The 22729-nt window shown below is 39.8% G+C and overlaps 1 protein-coding gene and 1 long non-coding RNA gene across 4 annotated transcripts in view, besides 2 other annotated features; one reads left to right on the top strand and one right to left on the bottom strand.

The window, feature by feature from the left end:
- The window catches only part of LOC105376615 (uncharacterized), a 59453-nt gene extending 56200 nt beyond the window's left edge, over positions 1–3253 (bottom strand). For both annotated transcript variants that reach the window (XR_931167.2, XR_931168.2), the window contains exon 1: positions 2740–3253. This is a non-coding gene — a long non-coding RNA (uncharacterized LOC105376615). The remainder of the gene's footprint in view (positions 1–2739) is intronic.
- Positions 3186–3235: a silencer, noted in NCBI's record as "silent region_3229". NCBI's record gives its function as "represses an Ori minimal core promoter by ATAC-STARR-seq in GM12878 lymphoblastoid cells {active_cell/tissue: GM12878}" and the evidence as "EXISTENCE:reporter gene assay evidence [ECO:0000049][PMID:35858748]".
- On the top strand, positions 3341–21045 carry DEPDC7 (DEP domain containing 7). Of its 2 annotated transcripts, none has more exons than NM_001077242.2 (9): positions 3341–3491; positions 13122–13512; positions 15149–15276; positions 16066–16255; positions 18841–19052; positions 19799–19941; positions 20131–20256; positions 20352–20430; positions 20725–21045. In NM_001077242.2, the coding sequence occupies exons 1-9, from the start codon at positions 3419–3421 to the stop codon at positions 20916–20918; spliced, it is 1536 nt and encodes a 511-aa protein (NP_001070710.1). In that variant the 5' UTR covers positions 3341–3418; the 3' UTR covers positions 20919–21045. The 2 variants fall into 2 exon arrangements, with proteins under 2 accessions (NP_001070710.1, NP_631899.2); NM_139160.3 differs by lacking the exon at positions 3341–3491 and adding an exon at positions 3580–4048.
- Positions 3556–3615: a silencer, noted in NCBI's record as "silent region_3230". NCBI's record gives its function as "represses an Ori minimal core promoter by ATAC-STARR-seq in GM12878 lymphoblastoid cells {active_cell/tissue: GM12878}" and the evidence as "EXISTENCE:reporter gene assay evidence [ECO:0000049][PMID:35858748]".
- Positions 21046–22729: the final 1684 nt, after the last annotated feature.

Genomic DNA, 22729 nt, shown 5'->3' on the forward strand with positions numbered 1-22729 from the left:
CCAGCAATGCACAAATGCTGAAAGAAGTCCAAGAGGTTAAAATATGCTCCATGCCCTGGACAATTTTCCAATTTTTTTTTTTTTTGAGATGGAATTTCACTCCTGTTGGCCCAGACTGGAGTGCAATGGCGCTATCTCAGCTCACTGCAACCTCCACTACCCGGTTTCAAGTGATTCTCTTGCCTCAGCCTCCCAAGTAGCTCGGATTGAAGGCATGCACCACCACGCCTGGCTAATTTTGTATTTTTAGTAGAGACGAGGTTTCTCCATGTTGGTCAGGCTGGTCTCGAACTCCTGACCTCAGGTGATCTGCTAGCCTTGGCCTCCCAAAGTGCTGGGATTACAAGCATGAGCCACCACACCCGGCAATTTTCCAATTTTCTTAGGCAATTAAGATATGTGTGTGCTCCCGTTAGAATGGCGATCATTAAAAAGTCAGGAAACAACAGATGCTGGAGAGGATGTGGAGAAACAGGAACACTTTTACACTGTTGGTGGGACTGTAAACTAGTTCAACCATTGTGGAAGACAGTGTGGCAATTCCTCAAGGATCTAGAACTAGAAATACCATTTGACCCAGCCATTCCATTACTGAGTATATACCCAAAGGATTATAAATCATGCTGCTATAAAGACACATGCACACGTATGTTCACTGCAGCACTATTCACAATAGCAAAGATTTGGAACCAACCCAAATATCCATCAATGATAGAATGGATTAAGAAAATGTGGCACATATACACCATGGAATACTATGCAGCCATAAAAAAAGGATGAGTTCATGTCCTTTGTAGGGACATGGATGAAGCTGGAAACCATCATTCTCAGCAAACTATCGCAAGGACAAAAAACCAAACACCACAGGTTCTCACTCATAGGTGGGAATTGAACAATGAGAACACTTGGACACAGGAAGGGGAACATCACACACTGGGGCCTGTCGTGGGGTCGGTGGAGCAGGGAGGGATAGCATTAGGAGATATACCTAATGTAAATGACGAGTTAATGAGTGCAGCACACCAACATGGCACATGTATACATATGTAACAAACCAGCATGTTGTGCACATGTACCCTAGAACTTAAATTATAATAAAAAAAGATATGTGTGTGCTGTAATAATCAGAGAGTATCAATACAAGCAGGAGATGAATAGTAATGCATTTGATAAGTGCCACAGGTGCTCAGAGAAAAAAAACACACCCGGGTAACCTGGAAAAATCTGTCCAGGGAAGAAAGTGGGAAAAGGGATAGGCATTTCCTATCCCATGGTTGTAGAAAGTATCTGAGTAGAGATGAACATTTCAGCATTCCAGAAGAGGTAAACAATTATTGCATAACCTGGTGAAAAACTCTCTGAAATGTTATATAAAGTATCAAAATGGTCACTGAGGTCACCAAGCTTTTTCAAATATTAGTGTTTTTCAAGATTTGTCTTCTGAGACAGATGAGCTTTTCCCCCCTCCCATGCAGTGAGGGAGGACTTGTGTGTTCATTCAGTTATACAGCACGGGATAAAGTTCATTGGTATACTGGGTGCCTGAAACCAGCCCTGAATGCATCCTCTTTCTGTGTGTAGCAGCCAATTGAGAGATTACAAAGAAAATCCTTAAACAGAAGTAAAGCAGGGTTTTACTACCATCAGGGGAAGAGGTCACATTAAAAAAAGGTTGCCAACTGGTTGGCAACCTTTTTTTTTCTTTTTTGAGATGGAGTCTCACTCTGTCATCCAGGCTGGAGTGCAGTGGCACAATCTTCGCTCATTGCAACTTCCGCCTCCTGGATTCAAGCGATTCTCCTGCCTCAGCTTCCCAAGTAGCTGGGATTACAGGTGCCTGCCACCACACTCGGACAGTTTTTGTATTTTTAGTAGGGGTTTCGCCATCTTGGCCAGGCTGTTCTCGAACTCCTGACCTCGAAGATCCCCCTGCCTCGGGCCCCCCAAAGTGCTGGGACTACAGGCGTGAGCCACCGTGCCTGGCCAGCTTTTTCTAACACTAAGCAGCAGCAACTGGCCCCCACCTCCCACCCACAAACCCAAGTCCCCAGGGGCAGCTTCTTAGTATGTATTCTCTGAAACAATCCCATGTAGAAGCTCTTTCCAATAAGCTAAATAATGAACTCCCACTTAAACACCATTCTAATTTACACCTAAATCACACAAGCATCCTCCTTCTAAGAAGACGTCATAATCGTTTTGAAAATCATTGCAAAATTCCCAAACTTGAAAAAAAAGAAAAAAAAAAGGGCAAGTGTCTGGCAATTGGATTATTGGTCTCTAAGACCACTCATCCTTTCAGAGGTATCCAGCATTGGATCCCTGGCCTGGCTTCAACTTCCAAGTAACTAAGATGTGTCCCATTAATAGCCCTTCCTCCTTTTCTCTCCTCACCTTCACTCCAACCGGCAGCAAACTGTCCCTACCCACCCGACCCACAGTTCCTTTGGAGGCAGCACAGATTTCCTGGCAGCCAGTCCCAGGGTCTTTCGTTGCTGCCCTCCTGTGACCTCTAGACATTGCTCTCCTGGGCCACATAGGATTTGTTTGTTCTGCACAGGTAGGGATGTCTGAAAAACTCGATTATTATTGTTATTATCACTATTACTACTACTACTATGACATAATTTTAAGCACTTACGTTCCGGACGCAGTTACTAAATGCTGAACCTGAATTGGTTCCTATAAACCTCGTTAAAAAACAAACAAACATCTCAGTGAAGCAGGTACTAAACCTACCCCCGCATCACAGGTGAGGACACCGACGCACAGAGCAGTTAGGCAGCTTGCCAGGTTCCCGACTTTTTCTATTTCTTTTTTTTTTTTTTTTTTTTTTGAGACGGAGTCTCGCTGTGTCGCCCAGGCTGGAGTGCAGTGGTGGATCTCGGCTCACTGCAACCTCCGCCTCCTGAGTTCAAGCGATTCTTGTGCCTCGGCCTCCCGAGTAGCTGGGATTACAGGCGCCTGTCACCAAGCCCAGCTAATTTTTGTATTTTTAGTAGAGAAGGGGTTTCGCCATGTAGGCCAGGCTGCTCTCGAACTCCTGACCTCAGGTGCTCTACCTGCCCTGGCCTCCCAAAGTGCTGGGATTACAGGCGTGAGCCACCGCGCCCGGCCTGGTCCCGAGTTAATCTACGGCAGGCCGCGGTTCGAATCCCGCTGGTGTGAGCCGCGGGCCGCGTAGTGCCGGCCCAGGGAACCGCTTTGTCCCCGACCACCGCTCGCGTGGCATCGCGCCCGAGGAAACTTGGATCGCTGGCGCCGCGGGCTACGTTCAGTGGTTGCCAGAGAGACACGTGACCGGCAGCGGGGGCGGGGCCTGCAGGGAGCCACGCCCCGCACAGTTAACAGACGGGCGCTCAGGGAGCTAGGGAGCTGTGAAGCTGCTGGAGGAGTTGGCGTCCGGGGAGCAAGGGCCATGGCCACCGTGCAGGAGAAGGCTGCTGCGCTGAACCTCTCGGCTCTCCACAGCCCCGCGCACAGGCCTCCGGGTAGGTGCCGAGGACTGCCGCCTGGGATGGCGCGGGGCGGGCTGGGGTGCGCGGGCTGGGTCCCGGCGCGGGGCGGGCGGCGTGGGGCGTTCGGCCGCCTGCGCCTGTCAACGGCCGGCTGGGCGAGCACAGCACAGCTGCGACCACTTGGCCAACGCCCCCGCCGAGCGGGCGGATCGAGTTCCTCTCTGGCTGGTGGGCTGCAAGCGGCAGAGCCCGCCCGCACAGCCCAGCTTTTTTCTTTCTACCCAGACTCTCAACTTGACCGCGCGTTGGTCTGTGCGCCCGCTAACGTGCCAGGCACGCGCCGGGGAGCTCCGGGATATGCTCCGCGGTGCTACCGGTGACAAGTGTGGTATCTGGAATTTGTGTAGTTCTTTGCCCCCTGTCTCAACCACAAACCTTGACGACACAGTATGGCCAGGGGCCGAGCTCCTCCCTTGCCCACTTTGTTCTCCAGACTGCTAGGAGTCAAGAGTCAGCTTGTCTCCCCAGACTCTTCCTGGGAGGGATGAGAGGTTTATGTGAGTTCTACTGGCAGGAATTTGGCATAAAAGGTATTTATTAACACTTTATGTATAAGCAGTATTTTAGTGAATAGAAGTTTTTGGCTAAAAAAACAGTTACATGAAATTAGGAGGGAAGTTGGCAAATTCTGCCACGGGCCTAATCGTGTCTTTTGGGGGCAGTTGATTTAGGATTCTGGTTTCTTTAAATGTTCAAACACATGAAGAGAATCGGATATCACTTCTAAAATGCTGGTTATAGCAGATCTACAACCCAGTTAATAGGGGTGACTCAGATAACTGTTAAGATACTCAGATAACCCTTGGCTTTTTTCTTTTGGTTAAGTTACAACTTTTTCCCCTTTCTGGAGCTCCAGTCTGGGATGTCGTAGGAATTAGTTCCCTTTCTGACAAAAGCCTTTCATTTGTAAAAACACCAACCAGTGAAACTGTGATTCCTTCCTCTGGGTCAAATGGGTGCTTCTCAGTGGCCCCACTCTTGTGTTTGACTTACTCACTAATGCTCATTTTAATCTTCAAAATGCTAACGACAGATTATGGTAGAGAACCATTTTTCACTTGTCCTTTTCTAAGAAAAATCATAATATTGACCTTAGTCTGCTTCCATGTAAAGGATTCAGGTAAGCACATAGTGGCCACATTGAGAATGTCTCCTTGATTTATGTTGTGAAGAGAAGACAAATGCTAAGACATTTGGGAATTTAAAACCAAATGACATTGAAAACAGTCTTGAGAAATCTTTTGGGCCCACTTACTCAGTGAAGGAAATTCCCAAATGTCACCTGCTTAAAATAAAAACATGGTACCCTGTTTTCTCTAATAGCTGAAATACCAATTCTGGAGCTTTGGGCATTTGTGAACAGGTTCTTAGATGGTGTAAGGAAGTATGTATTCAGAAATTAAGTAGATAACTCTCTAAGGGAAGAGTTGAAGTGCTGGTTATCAGGAATCAAAGGAACACTGTCCTCGGCACACTAGCTGCAGTGGACGGAGAGGGGCCCGCTGTTGTTCTCACTCGTTTTGCTTGCTACCGCTGGAATCCCGACCTGGTAACATTTGTTAGCCTTTCTTTCACCCTTTAGTTGCCTTGTCATAGTTCCAGTGAGCAAGGTAGTGGGAGCACACGGTTATTGGTTCTTTGCCATTCTCTTTCTGTGTGCTCTGGCAGGCAGCTTTGTACTTTTGTTTCTCCACCGATTAGTAACTCTCACTTACCTTAAAGGGGCTGTAATGACCAGGGACCTGATTTATGTACAAGAAATGAGATCTATATGCCAGTCTTCAGCCAGTATGTCAAAAACACTTGTCTTTTAATACGACAAACAAGAAAGTAGTCTGTTATCCTGTTATCCCTTTATACTGTAACCTAATTCTTTGAGTTTGCCTGGTATCACTTTTCCAGGGAGCTCAAAGTACTTCCCATATGCTGTCTCATTAATGTATGTGAATTAAAGCAGAGACCAATGTCTGCTTTTGCTGATAATTCTCGTAGATATTGTAAATTTTTCTTGTTGGTAGACTTCTTTTACCTACCTGCAGCCTTCTTTTCAGAGGCAATCGCAGTCTTCAGCATGACGCCTCTAATGCCAACTAGCAGGAAAATAAACTTTGGACTACCAGAACCAATATCCAGTAAAAGTGTTGTAATCTTGGGATCATAGTATAGAAAATTTTTCCACTCAGTCACAACTGTCAAGTTTTAACACCATAAACACAATTCTCTTTACATTTATCTATTAATATTTTCATGAGGTTTTGGTTACTATCCAACAAATGTCCTTTTTCTTTGTTGTCTTGACAATTCTTTGTGTGAGTAATATTTTAAAACCTCTTTTGAAAAAATCTTTCTTAAAATTCTCTTAAATCCTAAATGGTCTAGGATTTATAGATGTGTTATTTTCTGATGAAAAGTTAAATCCTCTGGTATGTGTCACATCTTGTCTTCTCATCTCCTGTTGGCCTTTATGTGATTGAATACTATTCAGAACTTGACATTATCATCCAGGTAGTAGGAGTAAATAAAAGGTAAACTCCTAAGGTTGGGGACTGTGTCCTCTGAGTTCAGAGGAAGGAAGAGGAAGAAAGATACCTCCCTTTTCTTTCTACTTTTAAAATAAAATTTTAGATTCACTAAATAGTATGGTCCATTTGTCATAATTAATGAACCAATATTGATACATATAATTATTAACTGAAGTCCACACTTAGATTCCCTTGGTGTTTGCCTAATGTTCTCTTCCAGGATCCCATCCAAGATATTATATTACATTCAGTTGTCATGTAATGAATCTACTCTTCTAGACTGTGACAGTTTGCTCCTTTTGTTTTTAGTGATACATCTGTTAATTTCTGGACATTTTGCGAGACACATTAACATATTGTCTCATGATCCTCGCAATGAGTGAGAGAAGTGGAGTTAGCTCTGTTTTGCAACAGAAAAGTTAGGCAGTTTGCCCAAGATCGTGTTATTAGTAAATGATGGACCCAACAACGGAACTCAGGTCCCTGGGACTGCAGAGTCCACACTGGTCTAACTCTTTGTAGTCACAGCACCTAGCACTGTGTCTGCTGCGTTAACTCAAGTTTCCATGTCTGAACAGTATTCAGTCAACCCAAGGTTTCTTAACCTTGGCACTACTGACGTTTTCTTTGTTGTGGGTGCTGTCTGTGCATTGTAAGATGTTTAGTAGCATCCCTCTACCCACTGGATGCCAGCAATACCCACACTCATTGTGACAATCAAAAATGTCTCCAGACATGTCCTGTTGGGGGTATAATCACCCACTGAGAACCACTGGGTTAACCTTCCTTTAAAAATTTTTTTTATGAACGGGGTGTAGTGGCTCACACCTGTAATGCCAGCACTTTGGGAGGTTGAGGCAGGTGGATCATTTGAGGCCAGGAGTTTGAGACCAGCCTGGCCAATGCGACAAAACCCCATTTCTACTAAAAATCCAAAAATTGTCTGGGTGTAGTGGCGCACACCTGTAATCCCAGCTACTCAGGAGGTTGAGGCAGGAGAATCGCTTGAACCCAGGAGGCAGAGGTTGCAGTGAGCCGAGATCACACCACTGCATTCCAACCTGGATGACAAAGTGAGACTCTGTCTCAAAAAAGAAAAAAAAGTAAGTTTTTTAGTAGTTAGCAATAATTAACAACTAACAAATATTGACTAACCAATTGTATTATATTGAGGCAATCTGTAAGGCAATTAAATAATTTAAACCTCTGTAAACCGCTAGGAAATCTGAAAGAAATCGGGCACTAGCTCACCATCTCTTAAAAGTTTTATGGAGAAACATCAACTGTCTGGATTCAGTTCCTTTTTTTTTTTTTTTTTTAAGTCCAGTCTAAAGACCGAGAATGGAAACAAATTTGTTATATGTTCATTAAGAGGTAGTGTGTTTTATTAATTCTGTGTGTATGTTTACCTTACATTGGGATCCAATTTTATAATGTGTATATTGATCTACTTCTAAAGATTTAATATAATCTTACTATTTGAAGTGATTATACAATTGTTTTCCCTTTAAATAGGTTTTCATAGGTTTTCACAGTAGGACTAGGGTTGCTGACAGGGTGGATTATGGTTGATGCTGATTATCCCTAATTTTTGGGTAAATGTAATTTCTTTACATTTTTAGGGAATTATTATGACTCAGTTATTTAGTGTGAATTCTTAGAAGTGAGGATGATTATTACTGGTACTACACGTATATATAAGTGTTCAATATTATCTTAGAAGTTTAACTTTTACTTTTGGTAAACGTTTTTTATGGTAGAGTTCAAATACATGTGAAGGGCAGCTTTTGAAAAATAGCTATTGTTTTCAAGCAAATAAGGATGAGACTGCTTGAAAAATGAAGGTTAACTAGCCTAGATTTATATAGTGCTTGAGACTATGTGTTGAAGGCTAGATAATCAAATTATTCCTGAGCCTCCTTAGGCAACCTTCCAAAAGGTTTTGTATCTGGTAGGGTCAAATTTGTCCATATGCTTCCTTTCTTGCCTATAGATCTGCCATATTTGGTGTTCAATGTCCTTATCTAAATGGAGGAGATATAATTTCAGTCTTTACATTCCTATAATCAGTTTATTTAAAGACAGGATCTCACTCTGTCACCCAGGCTGGAGTGCAGTGGTGCGATCCTAGCCCACTGTAACCTCGAACTCCTGGCCTCAAGCAATCTTCCCGCCATGGCCTCCCAAAGTCCTGGGGTCAGAGGCATGAGCCACTGTGCCTGCCCTGGCAGTTTAGACCTGAAACTAACCTAAAATATTGTGTTCAACTATTTTATCAGTAGATAAAGAAACCTACTTACAGAGATTGTCTCTTATCCAGAGTTTTTACAGCTGATCTCTAAACTCTTTGATTCCATTTGTTATGATGCTTTTAGAAAATGCTTGACCAGGCTGGGTGTGGTGGCTCACACCTGTAATCCCAGCACTTTGGGAGGCCGAGGTGGGTGGATCACGAGGTCAGGAGTTCCAGACCATCCTGGCCAACATGGTGAAACCCTGTCTCTACTAAAAATACAAAAAAAAATTAGCTGCACGTGGTGGCGCGTGCCTGTAATCCTAGCTACTTGGGAGGCTGAGGCAGGAAAATCACTTGAAGCAGGGAGTTGGAGGTTGCAGTGAGCCAAGATCGCACCACTGCACTCCAGCCTGGCGACAGAGTGAGACACCATCTCAAAAAAAAAAAAAGAAAAAAAAGAAAATGCTTGACCAAATGTAAGGAAGCATCAAGATGTAGATAGTGATGGATTTTAAAAGGTTGTTTAGCTCATATGAAAGTGAGGTTTGAGGACAAGCTGAACCCTTAATTCTGATTGCAAGACTTAAAAAACATTCATTGTCTATTTTTGGTCTCTTAAATCCTGTTTAGAAATCACAGTAAGTCATCTTACTGGGCCATGATCTGCTATACCAATATTCATTTCAGCTTTTAAATGACGATAAATAAGTTTCAAACCATATATGTTCAGCTGGTGAAGTCAGCATTTTAAAAAGCAGGTTATCCTGGTATGGGTTTTGGCACATTTACTTGTCAAGTCCAGGGTACATTGTGTATGAAAGCATCTGTATGAACATGAGCTAGTTTGTGGGTGGTGGTGCTTGAAGGGAAATATCCCAGGATGCAATGGTTGGGAATTAATGGTCAGTGAGAACAGAGGGGACCTGTGAGGGCTGCATTGTATCATGCCTGGAGGACTCTGGAAACCTGTGGTTCACAGGTGTCTACTCTCCTGCTCTAACTAGTTCTTTAATCTTTTATGCAGTGTTATACAACCTGCAGAACCTCCTGATTTCCCACAAGTTAATATGGGGAAATTTATTCTTTACCTCTTAATTCTTCTGTGAAGATTAGCCTTTTCTACTCATTGAGGCCAAATATCCCCTCTCACCGCCCTCTTCAGCTGTCTTACTGATCTGTAATTAATAAGTGACTCAGCCTTGTCATTTAGGATTTGTGTGCTAACCTACTTATAGCTCAAGTGTTATGACTTATGTGTTTCATCTTTATATTATCACTAGTCCAAAAGTCTGTCTCATTGGTTCTTAAAAGGCAGTCTGATTGAAGTTTGAATCTTGCATGTCTTCCTTTTCCTGTCTTACCCTGTGTACTGTGGTAGTATTTATTACAGAATTTATGATATCCTGCCTTATTTTATGAGTAGTGACTACTGTTTTTAAATAGCTTGGTTAAGGGTTCTTAGAGTTTGTTTTATCTCTTGGCTCTCTTAAAGCTGTTTCACTTAATCCAAGTTTCCAGTGAAAGGTTAATGCTTAAACAACTTATCTGATGGCTGACTTTTCATATATTTATGTTTAAGTACTAGGAAACACTAGTATATATTTATCAGCTGTGTAACTGTGGGCACATTTAACTCACAGAGCCTCAATTTCCTCAAAATAGGATTATTAATAATCATTTTGCAGAGAAGCTTATCAGAATTAAATGCGAGAAGACAGAGCCTGTCATAGTGTAAATACTCAAATGTTAGCTATTAATAATAAAGATTTGAAAAATTAAGCAGAAATTGTTTATTTTAAATCTTATTTATAATCTCTGGTATTTTAGGAAGTTAAGAATATTAGTCGCTAACAATGTTTAGGCATTGTGGCTGGAAATAGTACAACTACTCCTGAGTTCTGGATACCAGAAATGACCTGGACTTACTCTGAGATTCCATCAAATGCCTCATTCTTGCTCTGTTCAACAGAGACTAAATACTGTACCAAGAGTAGATCTAATTCCAGCTTGATTTATTTAGTCAATTCTCCATAATTCAGTTCCTGAAATAGCTCACATTATATTTGGAAGACTGGCAACAATTACTTCCATCTTTGTTTAGTACTGGCTTATGAAATATCTTCAAATTTAAAATACAATTTTGACAATTAAAAACAATCTTGCTTATTTTGGGAGGCCTAGGTGGGTGGATCACGAGGTCAGGAGATCGAGACCATCCTGGCTAACACGATGAAACCCTGTCTCTACTAAAAAAAAATACAAAAAATTAGCCGGGCGTGGTGGCGGGCACCTGTAGTCCCAGCTACTTGGGAGGCTAAAGGTGGGAGAATGGCATGAACCCAGGAGGCGGAGCTTGCAGTGAGCCGAGATCACGCCACTGCACTCCAGCCTGGGTGACAGAGAGGGACTCTGTCTCAAAAAAAAAAAAAAAATCTTGCTGATCATTTTAAACCAACGTTATAATAATGGGTAGGTGGTAAATTACCCATCTACTTTTGGTATTAGAAATATACAAATAAACAATAAAGGACTGTGTATTTGTGTATATGCTATTCATTTTCACTATAAAGATGTTTAAATTGCTAGTAGCTACAGAATTATGCTACAAGTGAAATCAGTGTAGTGGTTCAGTGTACTCCTTATATTTATTGCAACGTAAGAGATGAATTTCAAATGACCCACTTATAATTTATGGCTCTAGTGCACTAAGAGGAGTTTTTGTTTATTTATTTATTTATTAGACGGAGTCTTGCTTTGTCGTCCAGGCTGGAGTGCAGTGGCACTATCTTGGCTTACTGCAACCTCCACCTCCCAGGTTCAAGCAATTCTCTGCCTCAGCCTCCTGAGTAACTGGGATTGCAGGTGCCTGCTACCACGCCCGGCCAATTTTTGTATTTTTAGTAGAGAGGGTTTCACCACCTTCGGCAGGCTGTAAAGGAGTTTTAATAATGTCCTTCAGGAGCTTATCTTATGCTTTCTTCATCTTAAACATTCTATTTTGCCTAAAAAAGTAGGAAGATAATTTCAAGTAGCAATTTCTTTAATTATAATTCCCTTTTTTCCTTACCATTGTACTCATGCATATGGTTTTCCTTTCTAGACGATCTTAAAGGAAGTAATAACTTCACCTTCTCTGCCAAAATATCTAAAAATAAAGGAAGTAATATACTTAACATAAATGGGGGCTTAAATTAAGACTGCTGAATTTTCAGAGGATCACTGAAAAGTGTAACACATTAAAGGGCCTACTCTTTATGAAAGGAAAAAAGGGAGGGAGCCAGCCAGCCACCAAGTGAGTGATTCACTGGAATCCATTCCATCGGTTTACAAAAACCCAAGACCTGATTTCTTTCCTATTGATTTCCAAATATCTGCTAATTACAATGAGGAAAAATGTGATAGGATATTTTTGAAAGTTTGTTTTTCTCCTTTTGTGTTTGGCAAAAATCTTGCTTTCTTCTGTGCGTACTCTGTCTTTGCAATAGGTCATAAGCTCCTATAGGGCAGGAACCAAATTGTTACTTTACCGCGCATACAAAGTATTTAACTCATAAGCCTGCATAATAGGAGGCTTTAAAAATATTAGTTTATTCCTGCAATGATTGTGTGTATCAATGTGTATGTGTGTGTGTGTGTATACAATCATGCGTAGTGTAATGACGGGGATATGTTCTGAGAAATGTGTATTGTCAGGTGATTTCATTGTTGTGCAAACATCATAGAGTATAGTTCCACAAACCTTGATGGTATAGCCTGCTACACACCTAGGCTATGTGGTGTAGCCTGTTGCTCTTAGGCCACAAACCTGCAGAGCTATACTGAATGCTGTAAGCAATTGTAACACAATGATAAGTACTTGTGTATCTAAACATAGAAAAGGTACAGCAAGAGATAGGAACAGGAATTTTTAAGCTCCATTATAATTGTATAGGACCACTGTTATATGTGGTCCATCGTTGACAGAAATGTTGTTTTGTGATGCATGACTCTGTGTGTGTGTGTGTGTGTGTGTGTGTGTGTGTGTGTATGACTCATAAGTACTTCAAAATCATATAAAACATGAGCTAAGTCCCAGTACTACCTCTTTCAATATAATATCTGGAAGTGCCATGTAACCTCTGTGACTCTGTTTTCCATCTCTCAAATGGAAATGATACGTACCTCATAGGTTGCTATTGAAGGTTAGATAATTTACATAAGATGTGTAATAGAATCCTTATACATAACTGGTAACTGCCACAAGGTCCTACTTGATGTGTCCTCCTAACTCCCAGTCTCAAACTCCAGCCCCTCTCCCTCCTTGATCTAACTTCCTGTTCTTCTCTCCCTCCCCACACCACTCTGGCTGTGCGGACCTCCCTCCTATCCTACCAGAGCACACTCCCACCTCAGGGCATTTGCTCTTTCCCCAGATGTCTGCACAGCTTGCTTCTTGCTTCTTGGTTTTACTTGAGTTTCTGCTCAGGTATAACCTTATCACACAGGTCTATCCTGACATCCCATTTAAAGTCGCATTCTTTATCTTATCCAGCTTTATTTTTCTTCTCAGCATTGATCTAACACGTATGGATTGTCTTTATCTTCCTACAAAGTCTTAAGTTCCTGAGAACAGGAATCTTATTTTGCTTACTGTTGCATCTTAGCATATAGAACAGTGTTTGGCATATAAGTACCAAATTTTTAAATGAATCGCTATTAAAACAGTATTTCAGTAAGCTACCCTCATAATTGCTCCTTATCAATAACTTTGGAAATTACCACATTTTTGCCTAAGGATTGCTTAGACCTTATTACAAATGAACAAGGTACTAAATCCCAGTTTCTCTATGATTTTTCTCCTTCTAGGTTTCAGTGTAGCTCAGAAGCCATTTGGAGCCACGTATGTATGGAGCAGCATCATAAACACTCTTCAAACACAAGTGGAAGTGAAAAAACGAAGGCACCGTTTAAAACGACATAATGACTGCTTTGTTGGTTCAGAAGCTGTGGATGTCATTTTTTCTCACCTAATTCAGAATAAGTATTTTGGTGATGTAGATATTCCTCGAGCCAAAGTGGTGAGAGTGTGTCAAGCGCTTATGGACTACAAAGTATTTGAAGCAGTTCCAACCAAAGTCTTTGGAAAAGACAAAAAACCTACATTTGAAGATAGTAGTTGCAGCCTTTATAGATTCACCACAATACCTAACCAAGACAGTCAGTTAGGCAAAGAGAACAAACTATATTCACCTGCCAGGTTGGTATATAATGTTAGATTATCACGGGAATATTGGCAGGATTTTGTCTACCTTTTTATGAGATGCCTACTGGCTTTATATTACATTTTTAGCAGTAAATGTGGCTAAAATATGGGTCTGTGGGTAAATTTGATAAAGTGCGATGAAATTTTGTTAGCTTTATTGGGTGTCTCCTAGTCATATTTTATATTTAGCAGAAGCAGTCAACACACTTTGATTTTCCTGCTTCAGGTTATAGTTGCAGTGTAAAAAGTGTTCTCATACCACTTGGTATGAGAACATAGCGAAGGCAGGCAGAGAGAAACCCAGATTGCGGTGGGAGAGAAGAAGGAATTATTTAAAGGGAAACTGGGGAGACAGAATTGTGGAATCCAGTGATTGAAATGGATGTGGGTGATAATGCATAATGAACTTACAGCTATTTGTCATGAAGTAAACCAACTTTACCCTTTCCCCTTTGTTACCCTCAGCTAAACTGTGCAGTGGTGACACAGAGGTATAATTGAAGCTCTTATATCAGATCTGACCTAAAGTCAGAGTTTTAGTGTATTCATTTTCGTGTGTGTGTACTTTTTTGAGGCAGGGTCTTACCCTCTCACCCAGACTGGAGTGCAGTGGTGTGATCTCAGCTCACTGCATTGTCTGCCTTTTGGGCTCAAGCGATCATCCTAGCCTCCCAGTAGCTGGGACTACAGGCTTGCACCACCATGCCTGGCTAATTTTTTTTCTTTTCTTTTCTTTTCTTTTTTTTCCTGTGGAGACGGAATCCCATTATGGTTCAAGACCAGGCTAGTCTGAAATTCCTGGGCTCAAGTGATCCTCCCATCTTGTGCTCCTAAAGTGTTGGAATTAGAAGCATAAGCCACTGCGCCTGGCCCATTTTTACATGTTTTGACCCAAACTAAAACATGATAAAATTTACCTCTTTGTGTAGAAAGGAAATATGAGGATAAAGTAAGGCACAGTCAAAACTTTCAGATGCAGGTCCACACACTTTATCTGAAATCCTTGGGACCAGATGCATTTAGGAATTTGGAACTTTGGAGCATTTAGAAAAGTTATCTTGTACATTTATGTGGTTCACCATCCCTGGAGGCATCTGGGACAGCATCTGGTAATCAAGCATAATGATATTTCCGTGGTAAACAAAAGAATATACTACCGGGATAAATTAAAGCTATCATAGTCTTGGGACAGATTTTGTCATGATATGAGCTCTAAATAAACCTTTGATTTTCAAAGCTTTTTGGGTTTCAGAATTGCAGGTAAAGGGCTGTAGATCTGTATTTAGAAAACGATAAGTACTGTTCACCAAAGAATGCCCCACAAAAAGATAACTGATAAACCCAGTAAGCATAATGAAGTCCAGTTATGTTTGATCGCATTTTTAAACTGGTGACTAAGATTTTAGTCATTGAATTAGTTAAATCTAAGAAAATATTCAAAGGAGAACAGAATATGTTTATGCTTGAGAAAGAAGGTGGGTGTTTTTATAATTTATTCTACTCTTAGAATTTGGATTTGTTGTGTTTTTGCTCTGAAATGCATAACTCTGTAGAAAACTCTTAGCTCTCAAATACTAAAATATTTCTGTGGGCTTAGTAAATGTTCATTTCTGAAATAAATTCATTTTAGGTATGCAGATGCATTATTTAAGTCATCCGATATCAGATCAGCCAGTTTAGAGGACCTGTGGGAAAATCTGAGTTTAAAGCCTGCCAACTCCCCTCATGTAAATATCTCTGCAACCTTGTCTCCACAAGGTAAGCTAAGGATGAAGCAAAGTAAGAAGTAGAAGACAAACTTCAAAGTTATTTAAAATTTTTTAATCTTAATCTTTATTAGATTTTAAATATTCAAAGTACAGAGAAAGAGTGCACTATGTATTAAAGCTGTTTATGTTCAATTTTAACAGAAGTCTATTATCTTTAACAAATAGATCAGTGTTAGAACTCTTGAACACTGACTTTTGTCCGATCAGCTGGCAAAGGTTCAGATCTGAGATGTTTTGCATGCAGATTTGTATTGAAAATATGCTCTCCGATGTTTCTTTTCCTAAGATTTTATTAGGTCAAGTAAAATTTGAAAATTACATTAAAACATTAACAGAATTCTTCGGTTCTTCCTTGTCTGTAGCAATGGAATATAGTTTAATGACTTTAATTTCCACCCTTTCCCCCATTCCAGTTGTGGAAACCCTGAGTGGAATAATCTGCAACCAATAGTTTCAAACAAGTTTTTAGCTTGAATGAATCATTCTTTCTTCCAGAGTCCTTATTAACATGTTACATGACTTGATCTCTTATCTCTGACAGATTGCTTTTTACAGTACAAAGAATGAAAAGAATTCCTGTTGTCCAAAGCCTATTCTCCTACACTCTAAACAAATCTTGGATTGTTTTACTTTGTTATAAGAAAGCACTTCGTAAGGTTGACTTTTTCTTTCTTTTTGGCCACAAATTTACTAGCTTAGACCTGCTTAGAAAAATATTATGGTGAGCATATAGTAACTATTAATTGTTACTTTTCACCTTGTCATTTTTCCTGTGTAGTTATTAATGAAGTGTGGCAAGAAGAAACAATTGGGCGTCTACTACAACTTGTAGACCTTCCACTTCTTGACTCCTTACTGAAACAGCAAGAGGCTGTACCTAAAATTCCTCAACCTAAGAGGCAGTCCACCATGGTCAACAGCAGTAACTATCTGGATCGAGGGATTCTCAAGGCTTATAGTGACTCTCAGTATGTGGAAATACATATAATAATTTGAGTGTGTTTGTAGGTAGATTGAGATAATGGTTTTAAGGTAATCTGTTCTATTCTTTTTTCTATAGGATCAGATATGCATTGTTAGTTGATATTATCAGTATTTGAGAATGTGAAGAACAAAATTACATTAGTCAAAATTAGAAAAAGATTTGTTTCATTTTTCATATTCATTTTTGTTTCACATGTAACTTGCACATTAAGTGAAAAAAAAATGATTATGCTTTAGCTTCTTATCTTTGTTAAAATGTAGAGCTGTCTGGACTCTCAAGATTTCCTCAAAGGGACCTGGAAGAATAGAAACAGATTTGACAGATTATTGAGATCCTTTGATTACATATCTAGAATGCCTGTTACATATGTATTTAGTTAACTAGTTGTATTAAAGAAATACAATAAGGCCGGGTGCGGTGGCCCATGCCTGTAATCCTAGCACTTTGGGAGGCTGAGGTGGGTGGATCACTTGAGGTCAGGAGTGCGAGGCCAGCCTGGCCGACATGGTAAAACCCCGACTCTACTAAAAATACAAAAATTAGCCAGGCATGGTGGCACGTAATCCCAGCTACTTGGGAGGCTGAGGCAGGAAAATCACTTGAACTTGGGAGGCAGAGGTTGCAGTGAGCTGAGATCATGTTGCTGCATTCCAGCCTAGGTGACAGAGTGAGAATGTCTCAAAAAAAAAAAAAAAAAAAAAATGAAAGTAACTCTCTCATTCCAGTTACTCCTCTCTTGAATATAAATCCTAAGGTTTGAAGGCTTAACTTTAGGTGCTGAGGGAATTAAAATTTTTTTTTCCTTAAAGACGAGTTCTGTATTACTCATAACTTTGAGGCTCTTCTATAAAAATTATTGTCGGTTAAAATAAGTTATCAGATTTTTCTAGCTTAATTTTTTATTATTTTGCCTTAGCAGATAGTGTTCCAGTCTAATTAAGGAGATGAAAATGTTTGAAAGGAATACAATTACATTTTCAGTACTTCACTAATTCTACGTTCCAAAGAACTATTAATACTATAAACAGTTGAATGCCAAAAGGCAGCTTAAAGCCTTATATGAAAAAGTTAATCCCAACATATGTGTTACTGAATTCTGCAGATATAACACATTTCTATAACCTAAAGGAACATGTGAAACATTGTGTAATTACTAAATTTTTTTTTTTTGAGACAGAGTCTCTCTGTCGCCCAGGCTGGAGTGCAGTGGCATGATCTCAGCTCCCTGCAGCCTCCGCCTCCCGGGTTCAAGCGATTCTTCTGCCTCAGCCTCCCAAGTAGCTGGAACTACAGGCGCACGCCACCATGCCTGGCTGATTTTTGTATTTTTAGTAGAGATGGGGTTTCACCATATTGGCCAGGGTGGTCTTGAACTCCCGACCTTGTGATCTGTCCACCTTGGCCTCCCAAAGTGCTGGGATTACAGGCGTGAGCCACTGCACCCAGCCTTGTAATTAGTAATTTTTATATACAAAATCAGAATTTGCGCTAGAAGTGACCTTAAAGATCATCTTATCATATAAAGTTGAAGCTGATGTCAAGAGAGGTGAAATGACCTGCCTGAGATACCTCACCTGGCTGAATTAGTTGTCCTGAGTCCATGGCAGTATGGCAGTAGAGGACATGATTGATTGCTTTTTAACGATAGATAGATAGATAGATAGATATAAAAAATGGAATATTAAAAGTTTACTACTTTATTTCTTGAAATGTAACATTTTTCTGAAGTTACCCAGCAGGATTTTACTGTAGATGATAATTGATATTTAATTATTTTGTTGGTTTGTTTTTTGAGATGAGGTCTCGCTCTGTTGCCCAGGCTGGAGTGCAGTGGCTCAATCTTGGCTCACTGCAGCCTCTGCCTCCTGGGTTCAAGCAATTCTCCCACCTCAGCCTCCCAAGTATCTTGGATTACAGGGGCGCACCACCACACCCAGCTAATTTTTGCATTTTTAATAGAGACGGGATTTCACCCTGTTGGCCAGGCTGGTCTCGAACTGCTGACCTCATGTGATCCACCTGCCTCGGCCTCCCAAAGTGCTGGGATTACAGGTGTGAGCCACCGCACCAGGCCTGATGTGTAATTATTTTGAAATGTTTCTTCCTTTAATCTGTCCTAGCTAAAGGGAGAGCTAATAGATCATAGACAGAGGTCTGAAGTAAGCAACATTGTGTTGGAGAAATACTGGCCCAGAACTCAGATCTGAGATCTAGTCCTGCCTGAGGCCTGAGCAAGTAACTTGGAGTTTCTGGGTCTCCATCGTAAATGTGAAGAGCAAGAGTAGAGTTTGAATTTGTACGCTCTTTTCACCTCTGTGTTGTGGTGGAGAGTTTGTTTTCGTGAAAAAGGAAAAAGTAAAGGGAAAACATTAAGCTGAATTTGTAAATGTGATACGTGATCTAGCTATATATTAAAAAGAACTACACATATCTTTTAAGCTCATGTAGAAATTTATCCTGATGGCTTGAAATAGCTACTGAATTAGGTACCATGTGTATATTTGTTATTCTTTGCCTTTTAAATAATCTTCCCTTGCCTTTTAAATAATCTTCCCCTCTCCCCTATAGGGAAGATGAGTGGCTCTCGGCAGCAATTGACTGTTTAGAATACCTTCCAGACCAAATGGTGGTGGAAATAAGCAGAAGCTTTCCTGAGCAACCAGACCGAACAGACTTAGTGAAAGAACTTCTGTTTGATGCCATTGGCAGATATTACAGTAGTAGGGAACCTCTGTTAAATCACTTATCTGACGTTCATAATGGAATTGCAGAACTCTTAGGTAAGTAAGATCTAACTGGATACTAGCATTTATCTTTTGGAGGAAACAAGAAAAAGTTAGTTCTCAAACTGAACCAGAATAGTACTACTACAAGCTGGGAGTGGATCTGGATTAATTCATGGAAAGTATGTTTGTTCAAAAACTTCTAGGGGTCATTTGGAAAGAGGCTTTAACAAGCTCTAAAGTTATGCAGAAACTTCTGGTTACCCAGGAGTATAATGCTGCTCTCATTCACCGGAAGCTTAAGCATAAAGCAGCAATTCTCTTTTTTTAGAAGAGTTATCAGCACCACCATTACTCCCCTTTCAATCTCTTCAAAATGGCAGACTCTCTGCTTTGTCTCTCTACCAATGAGCCACATAATTTGTTGGAAACAAATTGGAGGTTTCAGAAAATTTCTCTTATTTTTCTCAAGGAGAGTTGGATACATGAGTATTGTACACATGGTATACTCCCAAATGTACTGAATTAATGAAAAACAGAATGGGATTTTATCCACAAAGCTAAGAGTTAGATTTAATGCCAGAAGATATTATATGACAGGGACTTAGGCTGTTAGTTGCCAATTTGAGAACAAGCTGCCTTTATGGTATTCACCATTCATTGTTAATTCCTAGTCTTGCTTTTGCTTTTGGAAATAATTTTGAATAAGTGCACTTTTTAACTCAAACTGTAACTTGAGTTTTGTTCCCTTTAATATAGTCATATTTGGTCAATTAAAAGCAGTTTTTTTCTTTTGGCTAAAGTGAATGGGAAGACGGAAATAGCTTTAGAAGCTACCCAGCTCCTTCTAAAGCTTTTAGATTTCCAAAATAGAGAAGAATTTAGAAGACTACTGTATTTCATGGCTGTTGCAGCAAATCCTTCTGAGTTTAAATTACAGAAAGAAGTAAGTCTTTTGTTTAACTGTTAGTTGTATTTAATATCCTTAATACTTACAGGTTAAGTATTAGATTATTCCATCTTCAGCATCAAGTATGCTGAAATGTATAATAGCTATTAATATTTAATATTCCCTTTTATATTAAACTTGTCTCTTAAATATATACTATTGGATATATTTGTTTTATTTTTATAGAGTGACAACCGAATGGTTGTGAAAAGGATATTCTCAAAAGCTATTGTTGACAATAAAAATTTATCCAAAGGCAAAACAGATCTTCTGGTACTCTTTTTAATGGATCATCAGAAAGATGTTTTTAAGGTAAAATTGTGAAAGTAGTTAAATTGAGCTTATGTAATAGATCACTAGATTAAAATGCATTTGAATAATGTCCCATGTCCCTTCTTTTTCTTAAGATTCCTGGAACTCTACATAAAATTGTAAGTGTTAAGCTTATGGCCATACAGAACGGAAGAGATCCAAATAGAGATGCAGGTAATCTGAGAAATATTATTTTCATGATCTTCCAAAGACAAATTTCAGGTGTTTTTTGAAAATGTTTTGCTATAAGTAGTTGGACTTTAATTTCAACCAAATTTAAAACATTCTCCTCAGAGTTATTCATACAAAGCAACTTTACAAGTGTTAGAAAGTCAGCAGTGCTTACCATCTTCAGTGCATATTACAAAATGGGGAAGAAAAACATAAAGACAAGAATATTGCTTGATTTTTCTGCTTAAATATGAGGAATTGAGTCATTAACTGAACTTTTTACTTTTAAACTTTAAGGATATATTTATTGCCAGAGAATTGATCAACGTGACTATTCCAACAATACAGAGAAGACAACCAAAGATGAGCTGTTGAATTTACTAAAAACTCTTGATGAGGATTCAAAACTTTCTGCCAAAGAGAAGAAAAAATTGCTAGGTCAATTCTATAAGTGTCACCCAGACATCTTTATTGAGCATTTTGGAGACTGAGTTTTTAATATCTGTATATAAGTTGTGTATTTTAAGAATAAATTATGTATCCTAAATATCCAATCACATTTGTAAGCGTGGAAGCTCTAAATTTGAAACTGTACTTAATAAAAATTTTTTTGTATAACTTCGTGTGTCAGAAGCTATTAGTCATATGGTGTATTGCTGTTAAGTACTTGAGTTGATTTATAATTACTGTGCTCAGTGCTTTATAGAACATAATAGAGATTTAGATGACATTGCAGTATTTATATAAGAAAGCATTAAACAGTAAAGAAAACGATAATTACATGTTAATAGGAGTGGGGTTTGTGTTTTGAAAGGTACTCCTTAAAGATGCAAGATAGAAACTTAGGTTATAATAAAAAGAATTTGCTGATTACCTTAAGTTGTAGACAAATCAGAAATCAGACTGTCCTAATGCTTCCGAAAACAAAATTTTTTAAGCTTATTGTGGAAAATTTCAAACATACATGAAAGTGGAGACAATAGAGTAATGAACTCTTGCTTGTACCCATTAACTAATACTGCCAACTGCCAACTCATGGCCAATCTTGTTTAATCTGTACCCTCCCTCACTCCTCACTCATCCCAGCAAATTTCAGATATCATATCATTTCCTCTATAAAATGTCAGTGTGTATGACAAAAAGGAACGTTAAAAAAAAAACATGAAACCATTGTCCTTCACATAAACCTACAACTCCTTAATATCAATCAGGTTTGCAGTTAGTGTTGAAATCTTATGATGATCTCAAATGATTTTGACAGTTTATTCAAATGGAGATTCAAATAATGTCCATAAATTGCAATTGGTTAGTGTGTTTAAGTCTCTCTTTAAAAATCTGTAAGTTCTGTAATCCCAGCACTTTGGGAGGCCGAGGCAGGCGGATCACGAGGTCAGGAGATCGAGACCATCCTGGCTAACACGGTGAAACCCCCTCTTTACAAAAAAAAAATACAAAAAAATTAGCTGGGCGTGGTGGCAGGCACTTGTAGTCCCAGCTACTCGGGAGGCTGAGGCAGGAGAATGGCGTGAACCCGGGAGGCGGAGCTTGCAGTGAGCTGAGATGCACCACTGCACTCCAGCCTGGGCGACAGAGTGAGACTCTGTCTCACAAAAAAAAAAAAAAAAAAAAAAAAAAAAAATGTAAGTTTGGCCAGGCACGGTGGCTCATGCCTGTAATCCCTGCACTTTGGGAGGCTGAGATGGGCGGATCACGAGGTCAAGAGATCGAGACCATCCTGGCCAACATGGTGAAACCCCGTCTCTACTAAAAATACAAAAATTAGTTGGGCGTGGGGGCACGCGCCTGTAGTCCCAGCTACTCAGGAGGCTGAGGCAGGAGAATCCCTTGAACCCAGGAGACAGAAGTTGCAGTGAGCCGAGATCGCACCACTGTACTCCAGCCTGGTGACAGAGCAAGACTCTGTCTCAAAAAAATAAATAAATAAATAAAAATGTAAGTACTCCTTTCTCCTTCCACCTTTCCCCTCTCTGTCTTTTTGTCTGTGTGTATGTCTCTATTGTTAAATAAACTTGGTCAGTTGTTCTTGAGTTTTCCTCAGTCTGAATTTTTCTGATGACAAGTCTGGGCTGTCCTTTATCATGTTCCTTTGTATCCTATAGTTCTTGTAAATTGGGCATTAGAGCTAAAGTTTTTAATACCTTTTTAACCAAGTTAATCATTATTTGGAATGAGTGCACTGTGAAGATACACAGGTGACCTTTAAACACCACAAGTTTGAACTGCGCAGGTCCACTTGGATTTTTAAAAACAGAAGTTATACAAAGTGTGCTTGCCTCTCCTG

This window comes from Homo sapiens, chromosome 11 (assembly GCF_000001405.40).
Source record: "Homo sapiens chromosome 11, GRCh38.p14 Primary Assembly".
NCBI classification, from domain to species: Eukaryota; Metazoa; Chordata; class Mammalia; order Primates; family Hominidae; genus Homo; species Homo sapiens.